General features: G+C 51.0%; 1 protein-coding gene across 15 annotated transcripts in view, besides 1 other annotated feature; it reads right to left on the bottom strand.

Annotated features, from left to right (window-relative positions):
• RNF220 (ring finger protein 220) overlaps window positions 1-14,381 on the bottom strand; it is a 246,942-nt gene that overhangs the window by 52,049 nt on the left and 180,512 nt on the right. The window lies entirely within an intron of this gene.
• Window positions 4,262-4,433: a silencer, noted in NCBI's record as "fragment chr1:45060915-45061086 (GRCh37/hg19 assembly coordinates)". NCBI's record gives its function as "represses an EF-1alpha promoter that drives an FKBP-Casp9 reporter gene in an ReSE screen in phorbol 12-myristate 13-acetate-treated (for megakaryocytic differentiation) K562 erythroleukemia cells {active_cell/tissue: K562(+PMA)}" and the evidence as "EXISTENCE:reporter gene assay evidence [ECO:0000049][PMID:32094911]".

Here is a 14,381-nt window from a genome sequence, read left to right as displayed (position 1 = left end):
ATTTATTCCTTTTTTATTTTGAGACTGGGTCTCACTCTTTTGCCCAGGCTGGAGTCAGTAGCACAATCACAGCTCACTGCAATTTCCACTGCTGGGCTCAGTGATACTCTCACCTCAGCCTCCTGGGTAGCTACAGGCACACACCACCATGCCCAGCTAACTTTTTGTAGAGATAGGGTTGTGTCATGTTGCCCAGGCTGGTCTTGAACTCTTGAGCTCAAGCAGTCCGTCCACCTCGGCCTCCCAAAGTGCTGGGATTACAGATGTGAGCCACCGCGCCTGACCCTATTTATTCTTGAAGACCACACTCAGACAATGCTTCCTCTTTGAAGCCTTCCCTAATAATTAACTACTCTCTTTTTCATGCTATGTTCCACATATGTCTATATGTCGATTATTGCATACATCATATAATATTGCAATTATTTATTTATCTGTCTTGTCTGGGAGATTCTGAGCTCTTTGTTTTATTTATTTATTTAATTTTTTTACTGCTCCTTGTGGAGCAGGGCTACCCCGTAGGCAGTGTGCCCAGAGTAGCTGATGCTGAGCTTCTTGAGGGCAGAGAGATTCTCTGATTCATCCTGGAACACTCAAGACCCTAGGCATACAGTCTGGCATAGGGTGGGTATTAGTAACTGTTAAATGATTCAGGGACTAAGTGAATGGGAGTGAAAGGCCTGCAGGAGAATGTCTGGAAAAAAAGAGAGATGGGGTGGGGGAAGTGTGAGGGTGAGAGAGGTGGGGATAGGGGAAGGAAGGCAATTGAGGCAATGCCGAAACCTTCTTTTGCTTAAATGAAGCCTTGCTTCATGGTCAGTGAGAGTCAGAGGCCCTAAGGGTGTCAAAGGGTAGAAGCTCTCGAAATACAGAAGCTCCAGAACTGCTCTCCTTACCAAAATATCAAGTGGTCATAGACCTGGTGGGAAATGGGTGACCAGTGACCATGTGAACATAACCAGACAGCAAAATCCCATGCCTAGAAACACTGACAGACATGCACACCAGGACATATGGCCAGTCACGTGCTCCTAGAGGGTCCCCAGCAGCTCCCCTATCCCAGAGCCCTCGGCAGGCCTCTCTGTGGGCCCAAGCCCCACCCGGAACCCCTGGGCTGCACGCTTTCTCTCTCTCACTCAGCAATTTCCCTACCCAAGAAAGCTCTAAGGGTTTCAATTACCGGCGTGTGGGATTTAGTGCCCTGGGCTTCTCTGACTGGAGGAGATTTATTTGAAGGTTTAGTGTCGTGGAGAATTCACGTCTTCACTCCCAGGAGCCCAGCTTCCGTCCTGAGCCCCTAAATCAGGAACCAAGATGGGCTATTGTCACTTACCGCATTAGCCTCGTTAGCGGACCAGGAGGGGTGATTAATAGCAATACACACACAGCCATCTTGCTCGCTTGCAGCTCCTGCTGCTGCTCATGACCTGGGGAGGGGTGGGGAGGAGCTGAACCTGCTCCAGAATAACTGAGGACTCTGGGCTTAGCCCCCTCCCTGTTTCCCCCTCCCCATCACCAGGCAGGAAAGTCCACATGACCATTCAAGATCTGGGGACAGTTCAAAGATTAGCAAGCCTAGCCAGAGAGAGCACATCTGGAGGCCTGACTCTTGGAGGGGGCGGGCAGGGGGCATGAGGGGGCTGGTTTCAGGATATGTCCCAAAGTGTACACCTGTGTTCGAGAGAGAACGAGAGAGAGAGAGAGAGAGAGGTGGGTGGGGTGGGGTGTGAGGAGACAGTGGGGGGTTGTATGTGAAGGAGGTAGACGGGTGTATGTTTATTTCATTTCCCAAACTGTCTTTGAGACTGGAGATAGCGCACTGAGGAAGACAGACAAGGGCGCCGGGAAGAGGAGGCGTGTACATGAGAGAAAGAGGTCCATGTAAGAGTGAGAAAGACCAAGAAGTGTGCAAGGAGAAATAAAAAAGTGTGGCTGAGAGAGGGGTGAATATGTGCATGTGAGAGGCTTCTATGAGACAGAGAGGTGCGTGTGTGCCGGAGCCATCTGGGAGACATTCGTGAGAAACGGTGTGTGTGCAAGAGTGGGTGTGTGAGGGGAGATGAGAGAAAGGGGTGCATAACAGACATGTTGTGTATGAAAAGAACGTGAGAGGTGTGGATGGGAGGGAGGGGCACAGCGTGAGAGAGGGAGGTGAGGGAGGTTCGTGTGTGTGTGTGTGTGTGTGTGTGTGTGTGTGTGTGTGTGTGCATGAGAGAGAGAGAGAGAAGGGCGTGTATGTATGTTGAGACAGAGAAGGATGTACGTTTTCTGTCTTGTTTTCCTTTGTCTCTTCAAATTCTCCCCTCCTTGCCCCTTTTCCCCCCAAAGTTTTTGGAGCCATGCTAACCTGGGTTTGAATTTCACTTCTGGCTACTTCATTCATTTATTTATCCATTCATTCACCAAATTATTACGGAGCATCTGCTAGCTTTTACCTTCCTGTGCCTCCTTTGTCTTACCTATAAAAAGAAGATAATAATTATACTTGCCTAACAGGGTGATTAGGATACCTTGGTGGTATAACTTACATAAAATGTCTCGAAAGAGCACAGAATTTGGAGCTGGATGCACTCTATAGCACAGCATCTGGCATGTGGGTCAGGAAATGGTAGCTACAGAGCTGCAGCTCCTCTGCCAATCCCTTTCTCTCTTCTTTTTCCATGTCCCTTATCCTCCTCCCTTCCTCTCTCCCACTCGCTTGTTCTCTCTCAATCACAGCTGAGCCATAGTATTAATTATTAGAACCAATTGACTGTTTAGACTCTGATGTTTTAACTAATCACCACTAATGGCAAACACTGGTGGGCAATCACATTCATTTAGTTCTTGGGCAAACTCCTCATAGTTGAGAGCGGACTAGAGGGAAGGGATCCAGCAATAACTGGCATTTGGGAATGATGGGAGGGGAGGCTCACTGCTGCCTAGAAAGAGGCCCTTCTCTCCTCCCTGGGCCAGCCAGGTCCCTTGGGATGGGTCAGCTGAGCCTTGCCTTGGAAGTGGGTCGGCTTCCTTCCCTATCGTTTTTCCTTTATTTATTTTTTTTGTGACTGAGGGAAGTGGTAACACTAATCAAATGCTTACTCTGTGCAAAGCACTGTACTATTTTTTTTTTTTTGGAGACAGAATCTTGCTCTTGTCCCCCAGGTTGGAGTGCAATGGCACGAGGGCTCACTGCCACCTCCGCCTCTCGAGTTCAAGTGATTCTCCTGCCTCAGCCTCCCGAGTAGCTGGGATTACAGGTACCTGCCACCACACCCAGCTAATTATTGTATTTTTAGTAGAGACAGGGTTTCACCATATTGGCCAGGCTGGTCTCTGACTCCTGACCTCAGGTGATCCACCTGCCTCAGCCTCCCAAAGTGCTGGGATTACAGGCATGAGCCACCGCACCCAGCCCCTTCTCTGTCTTTTTACTTCTCTGCCCTTTGGCCTCAGTCTCCCCTTTTGACTTAGAATTCTTTCATGGGAGTCTCCAGAAACCACTACAGTGGAAATATCCCAGAAATATCCTACCTGCTCCCCTTCCTTGAGTTGCTTTTTAGTTGTTGTCCTTCCTAAAAGTCCATTTCCAGAAGAGTCATTTAGACATAGGTTCAAAAATCTTTGCTCATCGGCCAGGCATGGCGGCGCACGCCCGTAATCCCAGCACTTTGGGAGGCTGAGATGGGCGGATCATGAGGTCAGGAGATCGAGACCATCCTGGCTAACACGGCAAAACCCCGTCTCTACTAAAAATACAAAAAAATTAGCCGGGCGTGGTGGCGGGCGCCTGTAGTCCCAGCTACTCGGGAGGCTGAGGTGGGAGGATGGCGTGAACCCGGGAGGTGGAGCTTGCAGTGAGCTGAGATTGCGCCACTGCACTCCAGCCTGGGCGACAGAGCGAGACTCCATCTCAAAAAATAAAAAATAAATAAAAATAAAATAATAAAATAAAAAGTAAAATAAAAATCTCTGTTCCTCACAGGGCATCTGCTTGATGCTGGTTGGAATGGAAAGCTGTACCCTGTCCATTCTGGCTGAGGGTTTCAGTGAAGAGAGCAGACAAACACGTGCTCAGTATTGCTGAGTCTGGAGAGAATGCCAGGGCTGGGGATGTGATCTGAGCATCATGTCCCTGAGAAAACACCTGCTTACTGATCCTGTCTTCTTCACACTGAGGCCCCAGAGCCCCAGCCTGCACACAACCCTGCTGTGCACTGAGCCCTGGCCCATCCTGTACCTGCTCCCCTAGTCTGTCCCGGGGAGCCAGATTCCCAGAACTCAGGAATGCCAGCTTCAGGGTGCAGGACTGGCTGGGCCAGATGGACCACAGGGCCCGGGCGTCCTGGAGGGGGTGGCCTAGGTGTCCGTGGCCAGTAGGTGTCGCTGTGGCTCCAGCACTGGGAGGGGGTGTTAGGCAGGGGCCCCGGAGCCGGCCGAGGTGTTGGGTGCCCTTTGGCCTCCCACCCCTACCTCGGGCCTTCCTTCACTCAGAGCCTTCACCAGGCTTCTCACACTTTCTTTAAGTGTCCATGGAACACTTGGAGGTTAATCTAAAACGCAGATTCTGATTCAGCAGCTCTAGAGTGGATCCTAGATTTTGCATTTCTACCAAGCTCCTAGGTGAGACCAGTGCTGCGGGTCTGTGGATGCTCTTTGAGTGGCAAGGTCCTAACTAAACGGCTCCATAGTGGGGAGGCACTGGCTCTGCTGTCTTCCAAAGCCAATCTTCACCCTCACTCCTATGTCTTTAAATAAAGCCCCGAATCAGAGGCCAAGGGTAGAGCCCCCTCTTTTTTTGGAGATGGGCTTAGCTAGACCAGCATGAGTTGGGCAGTTTCTAGAGAAGCTCTGAACCTAAACCTAACTCCAGTACTTTGAACCAACCCAGCCCTACCTCCTAGCCCAAGTCCTAAACTTCAATCCAATCCAATCCAAATTCCCCAAATTAACCCCAGTTCCCAATGGGCTATTGATTGCTTCAGTCCTGTCCCAAGACCGAATGCCCCCTTAGCCTCTCTGATAACCTTCCTGGTCCTCTGCCATACCTTCTTCTGGATACCAGCCTGAGCCAGGGCGGTGGGGCAATAGGGTCTGGGGACACATGCCTGGATCAGGCTCTTACAGAACTCAGCAAGGGAGCTCAGGCATTGCTCCAGACAAAGGAAAAGAGCAATTTGGCAGTCTAGTTGAGAACAGGCTCTCCCTGCTCTCCCAGACTCTCCCTGCAAGGCCATTTCTGTTGGGGAAAGTTCTGTCTCTGCCTTACCCCGTACGGCTCTGCTCTGCCCGATGGGCTCCACTTCCTGGGACGTGGGGAAGGCTGGGAGGAAGCATGTCCATTAGCCCAGTCCCAAGTGCAGGTGAAGGGGGTAGGATGGAGGGAGTGAAAGGAGGAGGAGGGAATGAAGTAACAAGGAGGGAGGGGGGGAGGCAAAGCGCCCTCCAGGGCTTTTCTTTTCAAATCAAAGTTTCTCTTGGGGGCCTTTCACTTTTCTTTTTCTGTCCACTGCCTGGCCCTTCTGGGTAGTGCAGAAGCGGATTCCTGCAGGGGTGGTAGGTTGTTATTCAAGCTGGACTATAAGAGTTTATCCCTTTTTTTTTTTTCTTTTGAGATGGGGTCTCACTCTGTCACCCAGGCTGGAGTACAGTGGTGCCATCTCAGCTCACTGCAACCTCCGCCTCCCAGGCTCAAGCGATTCTCCTGCCTCAGCCTCCCAAGTAGCTGGGATTACAGGTGCCCACCACCATGCCCGGCTAATTTTTGTATTTTTAGTAGAGTCAGGGTTTCACCATGTTGGCCAGGCTGGTCTTGAACTCCTGACCTCAAATGATCCACCCACGCCTTGGCCTCCCAAAGTGCTGGGATTATAGGCGTGAGCCACCATGCCCGGCCAAGAGTTTATCCCTTTTAAGTCTCATATTTTGTGATTTTTAAGAGTGCAATTATTTTATTTTATATCATTTAAAAATTTTTTTGAGACAGGGTCTCACTCTGTCACCCAGGCTGGTGCAGTGGCGATCCTAGCTCACTGAACCCTCGAACTCTTGAGCTCAGATGATCATCTTACCTCAGCCTCCTGAGGAGCTGGGATACAGGCCTGTGCCACCATGCCCAGGTAGTTTTTATTTTTTGTAGAAACAGGCTCTCACTATGTTGCCCAGGCTGGTCTTCAACTCTTGGGCTCAAGCGATCCTCTTGCCTTGGCCTCCCAAAATGCTGGGATTACAGACATGAGGCACCACCCTGGCCTGTTATTATTATTGATATCTTGTGATATTTAGCACTTTAGATATGAAAAATTTCTTTAGATAGGGAAAGGTAAAAGTTGCCTGAGGTCATGTTGGTCGAAAGCTTAAAAATGAAACTTTGGGCTCCTAATAGTCCGATGCTGTGTTCTGACTCCTACACTGAAAACATCTGGTCAAAGAAATCCTTATCAGGACTGTGATAGGACAGTGGGTCTCATCTCTTGCTGCCCTCTGCGGGTCTAGGGCATGGGATGGAACAGGGAAAAGGGCTTTGCCAAACAAACTGGTGGGTCCCTGTGGGCTGGCTCAGGCTTGGGCCTGTGTTGGGAGAGAAGATTGGGTATGGTCTGCTCCTGGATCTGTTCTGTGTCTGCCTGCTGGGCTTCTGTGACCAAAAGAGAGAGCTGTAGAGACACCATGGCAGCTCTGGGCCCATCCCCCCCATCAAAAACTCCTTCCTCTCTCCTCAAGCTTATATCCTCATTTCTCTCCACATGGCATCCCCCTCTACTCCCACTCCCTGCGTCCTATCCTGGTGGCTCCATTGTAGGCAGAATGCGAGGGCCAGGGCTGGGCTGTCATAGGGAACAGGAGTTAGGCAAAGAGCTGGGAGGGCAGAACATGAGCTTTGGCCTCGGGGAGACCTGGTCTTGAAAGCACCTGGAAGCATGGCTAGCCATGTGTCTTTGGGCAACTGCTGTAACCCATCCGAGTCTTCTTTTCCCCACCTAGAGACTGAGGATGATAATACTCACCCCCACCTTGCTTTAACAAATGAATGAGAGGAGCGTGTACCACCTGAAGCACAGGGACTTGCAGAGTGGCTCTCAGCATGCCTTCCTGCCCCAAGCGGGGAATCACAGAGCAGGTATGGGCCTGGGAGTGCAGAGGGCGGGGGCTGCCAACCTGGGAGCCCACAGGCTCTCGAGTTCCTCCTCCCAGGAAGGCCTGGCCCTTCCCCAGGCACAGTGGTCAGTGGCCAACAGGACAACACAGGGCTGTGTCATGAGGAAGGCAGCTGCGTAGGGGGCTGGGCTGGATGTTGTGTGCAATAAGGGCCTGAGACAGAGGGGCAGCTGGGAGGCCTGGCCAGGCACAGCCTGTTACCAGCTGCGCAATGGGCCTCTCTGCCCTGCCACCACCAGCTCCCCCTAGCTGAAAAGTGCCAGTCCCAGGCTCCCTTGCTCTCCTAGCTCTTGGTTCTAAGCACAGAGTGGTGCTGCGGGAAGGAATTCGGGGAAGTATACCACGACTGAGGCTGGGTTGGCTTGAGGCAGAGCCTTCCCTCGCCCTCTCTCTCTCTGTCTGTTGGTCTGTTTCTCCCTTCCTTCTTCTCTCATTCCTTTCATTTTTATCATGTCCTTTTCCAAACTTAGTCCTGGAACACCCTCAAAGATTGTGGGCCAGTCCTCTGGGGGTGTGGAGTAAGGAGTGAGGCCCAGGCTCAGAAGCTCACAGGATGGGGGACGGCTTGAGCACCTAAGATACCACTGTGAGGATGAAGTGAGGAGTAAGGAGGAGGAGGAGGAGGTCAGGGCTCGGAGGTGGAGAGGGCTTCCTGGAGGAGAGAAGTCTGGAGTGTCAGATGGCAAGAGAAGGAAGAGTGGAGTGAAAATTAAGACAAAGGCCCAGAGGCAGCCCAGCAGGACTAGTATGGCTGGAGGAGGAGGAGGACAGAGGAGTGAGAGGGTCCAGGCTCTAAAGGTGAGTGGGGCCTCCCATGGGCCTTCTTTCTGCGGGCATTTCAGAGCCGGGAGGACTTATAGACCATGTTGTTGCCCCCTCAATATTTAGACAGGAAATTGTGGCTTGTGACTAGAATATTCCTTTGCAGAAGTTCACGCTCTGGCCATGCCTCTAACCACACCCTAATAAGCCAGGGACTGGCCCAGCACAAGGCAGTTGGATCCTTAGACATGGCGGACGTAGCTGGAATTACTGACCTCACTTAGTAAGAATAAAACCAAGACTCAGAGAAGTCAAGCAAGATACCTAAGTCCCACTGCAAGTGCATAATGGCTCTGGGACTTGAAAGGACTTAGATTCCTTAGCAAGGCCTGCAAGGGCATTGCGCATGGACGATAGGTGACCTGCCAGCCTCCTCTCTTGCTGCCTCTCACCTTGCACACCATTGTCTTGGTCCCACTGAATTCTTTTGGTTTCTCAAATGGGTCTTTAAACATGTTGTTCCTGGCTGGGTGCAGTGGCTCATGCCTGTAATCCCAGCATTTTGGGAGGCGGAGGTGGACAGATCATCTGAGGTCAGGAGTTCGAGACCTGCCTGGCCAACATGGTGAAACCTTGTCTCTACCAAAAATATAAAAATGGCGTGGTGGGTGCCTGTAATCCCAGTTACTCGGGAGGCTGAGGCAGGAGAATCGCTTGAACCTAGGAGGCGGAGGTTGCAGTGAGCTGAGATCATGCCACTGCACTCCAGCCTGGGTGATAAGAGCGAAACTCCATCTCAAAGAAAAACCAAACAGCAAAAAACAAAACAAAACAAAAACCATGCTGTTCCCTCTGCCTGGAAAACTATCTTCCAGGGCTCAGCTTCAAGGTTAACTCTTCTAGGAGGCAGTACTATCAGAAGCATCTGGCTAGATTGTGTGTCCTCTAGCCCCCAAGACTTCCCTAATTGTGATTACACTTTTACTTGTCTATTTCTTTAACAGGGCCTGGCACAGTGAGTGACATCAAATGAATGAATTAGTGGAAGGTGAATGAATCCTCCCTGGCCCCCCCGCTTCCTATTCATCATCTCTGGTATCAGCGGCATCCACTCCCCATGGCCTCCTGAGTAATAGCACTGGGCATGGAGCTGGACTGAAAGAACAGAGCCTGCCAGGGGCAAACATTCTGGGGAGCGGGGAACCGGACACAGCAGAGAATCACCCAAGTTTAGTTCAATGCAAGACCTAGCCTAAAGCAGGATGTATTCAGGGCCCTACATATAAAGCCACTGTTGAGCCATGAGAGCTCTGAGGAAGCATGGGGCTCCTGCAGGCTGGGAAAGTACCACTGAGAGGAAGCCCCGTGAAGGATGGAGAATACTGAGATCATGGAGAGCACAGGACCACAAGCTTGGGAGCAGGGGGACACAGTAGTAGCAAAGTTGGATGGAGGAAGGATTTCAGCCCCTCCCCGGACTTTCCTTGCCCAGCAGGGCTTGGGCTGCCCAGCTCACCAAAGGGCCTCATATGAGTGATTGCCTGGAAGGCTGGTCCTTCTAACATGCTGAGTGGATGAGCTGGGATGTCCTAAACCACACCTGTGAATCCTGGTACCAGCCTGCTCCTTGGCTCAGGGATCATCACAGAAAACGCATGCTCTGAAGACCATACCTGGGCCAGCATCCGCACTGCCACAGAACCACACACATCAGCCCCACTGTGCCCTGTCCATCCCCATATCTGGCTTTGCCTTGGGCCCATGACCTTCACCCATTTTTCCTGTAGCGTTTTGCATCTTAATTTGCACCAGGGTCCAGAGCCTGCTCACCTCCCGTGCAGCCTTAACTTAAACCAGCTGATTGTGTGCACCCCTTCTCCCTGCCTCATACCCCCAGACCACGAGCACCTTGAGTCAAGGAATCATCATATTCTTTGTAGTCCCAGCTTAGGTGTTGTTTATAAACATATATTAAATTAACTATTGGTAGAGACAGAAATATAAGACACAAGGGATGAGGATTTTGCCTCCTTAAGCCAGTTTTTCCATGTAAAATGGAGACAGTAATTCCTATGACCTGGGAATCCTGTGAAACCTAAGTGAGGTCAAGACTGTTATGACTCCACCTTTAGGAGGTGGATATTCCTTTTTTTTTTTTTTTTTGAGATGCAGTCTCGCTCTGTCACCCAGGCTGGAGTGCAGTGGCATGATCTCAGCTCACTGCAAGCTCCTCCTCCTGGGTTCACGCCATTCTCCCGCCTCAGCCTCCCGAGTAGCTGGGACTACAGGCGCCCGTCACCACGCTTGGCTAATTTTTCGTATTTTTAGTAGAGACGGGGTTTCACCATGTTAGCCAGGATGGTCTCGATCTCCTGACCTCATGATCCGCCCACCTCGGCCTCCCAAAGTGCTGGGATTACAGGCGTGAGCCACCACGCCCGGCCAGGAGGTGGATATTCTTGTTATACCTATTTCACAGATAAGAACACTGGGGCTCAGGGAAACATGGTGACTTGCCGAAGGTCACACAGCTGGGAAATGGAGGGTTGGGATTCAAATGAATGCTTCTGGCACTGTCTCACTGTATAGCTTCCTGGGGAAAGTGAAGTTTGGTGGGAGGTGTAAGTCATGTCTAGAAGACAGATATGGCTTTTCATCTGACCAGTGGGTTTAAAGTTCAACCTGCAGCACACAGCTGAGCAGGCAAGTCAGAAAGGAGAAATAGTGGGAAGGGGCATGCCCTGGAGCCAGGGGGCCCCTCAGAGAGAAGACACAGCCTTGTCCTGGGAAGCCTGATAAATTCTAGGAGAGGAGGCAGGCCTCAGGCACATGACAGGCAGGGTGAGGGTTGGTGGAGAAGTACTTCATGGCAGGAGAGGCCTGAGATGGCAGAGTCTGAAGGTGGGAGAGCCACTAGAAACTGATGGCAGGAAGAAGTCCACCCCAGCCTCGGTAGTCATGACCTGAACCCCAGGTAGGGTTGGGGTTTGGTCACCTGCCACCCTCCTCACACCTGTGCTGGGGCCCTGCTCATAGCCAGCCCTAAGCTCCAGCCACCTCTGCCCCCTGGCCCAGCAGTCGGCCCAGCTGGCTCACCTTCTCAATCAATACTGTGCTCTTAATGGGCCCAGCTACCAGCACCAACCAGGGGCATTAAATGTTAATTATATCTATTTGGATTTGAAAAATTTTATTACTCGAGTTAATTATGGTTGGAGTCATAAAAAGGTTTCAGAGTGAAAGGACTGCCTTATTGGGGCCACTTTCCCCAAGACAGATTGGAAAGGCAAAGAAGAAATAAAATCATCTGGCTTAGAGGGCGGCTACTCCACATCCACCAGGCTGAGCGTGCTGGGCTAAGGACTCTGAAGCCTCCAAGGGAAAGGCCTGAAGAGCAGCTCGCCTACTGGCCGTGCTGGTGCCCGGGATGCAGGACAGGCCTGTCTTGGCAGGGCAGGTCTGCCGCTTGGCAGCCCCAGCAGGAGAGATGCGGTCAAGTAGAGAAGGGCTCCCTGCCAGCGAGCCTCCATGGGAGCTGCCGTCCTGCTGAGAACAGCCCGGCTCCCAGAGATCAGGATTGCAGGATATGCCCAGGGCTCCTCTTCAAGTGGTCCAAATACTGGGACCTTCTCTTGCCCAGCTCTACCCAGCCCTGCCTGATTGCTTCCTGCCAGCGCCGCTTATGATTCATGGGCCTGACCTTGGGCTATAAGGTGTTCACTCTAGCGGGTACAGAGGCAGGATTTATGGCCTCGGGGTCAGCTGTAGGCAATGACACAGGCAATAGCTGACTCACAAGGGTGCCCCATCCCCAGCCCACACATAACTCTCCCTTGCACACACAGGTACACACACACATCTGGACATAGCCGCAAATGCACATTCATGCCAGGAGCTATCTCACGCACGCATCTGGTAATGGGAGTTCATTTGTGGAGCAAGCACTGTGTCTAAGGTGCTTTACAAGCATTTGTCTAATCCTTAACACTGCCCCTGTAAGGCCGGTCCAAGCCAGAGCTACTCATTTTACAGAAGAGGAAACAAAGGCTCAAGCAGGTTAAGTTATCGGAACACATGTGCCCTAGAAGAGAACCAGCCCTACAGAGAACCCTGATGCCTGTCTGTTGGCCAGGGAAACTAATACCACCAGAGAGCTAGACTACAGCAGCCTGCGGGGCAAGAGAGACCATTCCACCCCCTCCCTCTTCCCTGTCAAAGGAGCCGAGGCCAGCACAGAGGGGGCGGGAATGTTCCCCATCTCTTTCCACCCCCTCCTTGCCACAAGGTGATGAAGAGAAGGGGAAAAATGCCTTAAAGAAGATACAACAGTGGCCGGGCGTGGTGGCTCATGCCTGTAATCCCAGCAATTTGGGAGGCTGAGGTGGGCAGATCACCTGAGGTCAGGAGTTTGAGACCAGCCTGGCCAACATGGTGAAACCTGTCTTCACTAAAAATATAAAAATTAGCCAGGCGTGGTGGCGGGTGCCTGTAATCCCAGCTAGTAGGGAGGCTGAGGCAGGAGAATGACTTGAACCTGGGAGGCAGAGGTTGCCGTGAGCCGAGATTGTGCCACTGCACTCTAGCTTGGGTGACAGAACAAGACTCCGTCTCAAAAAAAAAAAAAAAAAAAAGGAAGAAGAAGAGAAGAAGATACAATAGTGGAATTTCAAACTGCACCAACTTTAAAAAAAACAGAAGGAACTGGGAATTAGGGGGAATTTGCCCATGTTGTTAAGGGATCAACTGCCCATCCAAGGGCAGTTGAGGTGTCTCCGGTAGAGACTGGAGGGGGACAATATTTCATATATAAACTTTTAATTATCATTGTTATGATGCGGTTACTGAGAACCCCATGTAAAAGGAGTTAGCCACTTCTCTCTTCAGCTTAATATCCATTGCCTCCACTTGATTTTCCATCTTCCCTCAATTTTCAGAACTTTTGTCTTTTCTCCAAAACCAGTGCCTACTGTCCCTTAGAGCCACTTCTCTCCATCCTCAGCAGGGACCTTGCCCTTGCGATATTCCTCTCGCTCTTGCATTTTTGCCACGAGAGCGGTCCTTTCTCCTCTGTCTTCTACGTTGTGTGTAACTGTCTCCTAAAAGGGCCAACCCTTCCCTGGACCTTGCCGCTTCCTCTATCTCCTTCCTTTCTTCTGTCTTCTAGTCTGCCTCCTGGAACAAGGACCTGTGCCTGTCGCCTCATTTCCTTCCCCACCGTCTGGGATGGAGCTCTTATCGCTGTCCTGGTGTCATCCGCAGCAGCTCCCTGGGTCCCTGGAGCTGTGACCCCCTCCTCAGGCATCTGGGGCTCTTCCTCAGCGCTCCTGTCCTCCTTTCCACACCACCCTCTATCCTTACCTTGTCCCTCATGCCTCTTCCACTGACCTGATCCGGGGACCTTGTCACTGCTGTGCCCTTTGCTCTTAGAGAATTTATCTTTTTACCCTCTTGAACGTCAACTTTCCAGGACTCCCAAACCTGCCTCCAATTTGATGTCTCTCCTGAATGCCCACACCGAATTGTCAACTGCCCAAAGGACATGTCCATTTGGACTCTCCATTGTCACCTCCAGTGAAACATGTTAAGTCAGAAATAATTATCTTCTCTTCAAAACAGCTCCCTTTCCACCACCTCATTTCTTCCCATTAAATAACTACCTAGACTCCCCAAACACAGAACTACTGATTAAATTATTACATTAAACAAATGTTTTCCAGGTAACTACCCTATGCAAAGCCCAAATAGCACAGGGCAATGGGGGTGGAGGTGGGAGGCAGGAAGAACAGGGAGGCAGCCTGATGACAACAGAGAGTGAAGGTTTTGGAGTCAGGTAGATTCGGGTCTACAGCCTGGTCTGCTGCTTGCCAGGGTATAATGTTAGGCAAATTACCTAAACCAAACATAGCCAGAGCACCTGCTGTGCACCATGCTCTGACCTAAAGGTCAGACAATCTCACAACAATCTTCCCAACGGTGCTATGATTATCCCATTTTAGAGATGAGAAAAAGAGAGAGGTTAAGGAACTTGCCCAAGGTCACACAGCAGAGCCAAGGTATGAACCTAGGTGGAGGCTGTGCTTATGGTCACTGTGCTATATTTAACTTCTCGTGGTCTCTGCTTTGTTCTGTTTTGCTCACTCTTGTGTCACCAGCCCCTAGGATCCCACTAAATATCTGCTGAGTAAGAGATGACAAACAAATGACTGAAATGCATCTATTGGATTTGATAGTTTGAAGTTGTTGCTGACCTTGGCAAAAGCAGGGTCAAGGGAGAGGTAGGGACTTAGGTAGAACAGCCATGGTTAACGGAGTGAATGGGAGGGAAGCAGTGCAGACAGATGTCAGGCATGACACTGTTCCAGAAGTTGGAGGGAGGAGAGAGAGGGATTGCCGTTGTCTTAGGAAGCACAGGGTCTGGATTTTCTTTTTGGTGTATGAAAGAGAGTTGGAGCTCCAGGACAGAGGATCACTGCTGGAGCCAG

Source organism: Homo sapiens, chromosome 1 (assembly GCF_000001405.40).
Source record: "Homo sapiens chromosome 1, GRCh38.p14 Primary Assembly".
Lineage (NCBI taxonomy): Eukaryota > Metazoa > Chordata > Mammalia > Primates > Hominidae > Homo > Homo sapiens.
Note: the sequence above shows the minus strand (reverse complement) of the source record. Positions and strands in the feature narration are given on the sequence as shown.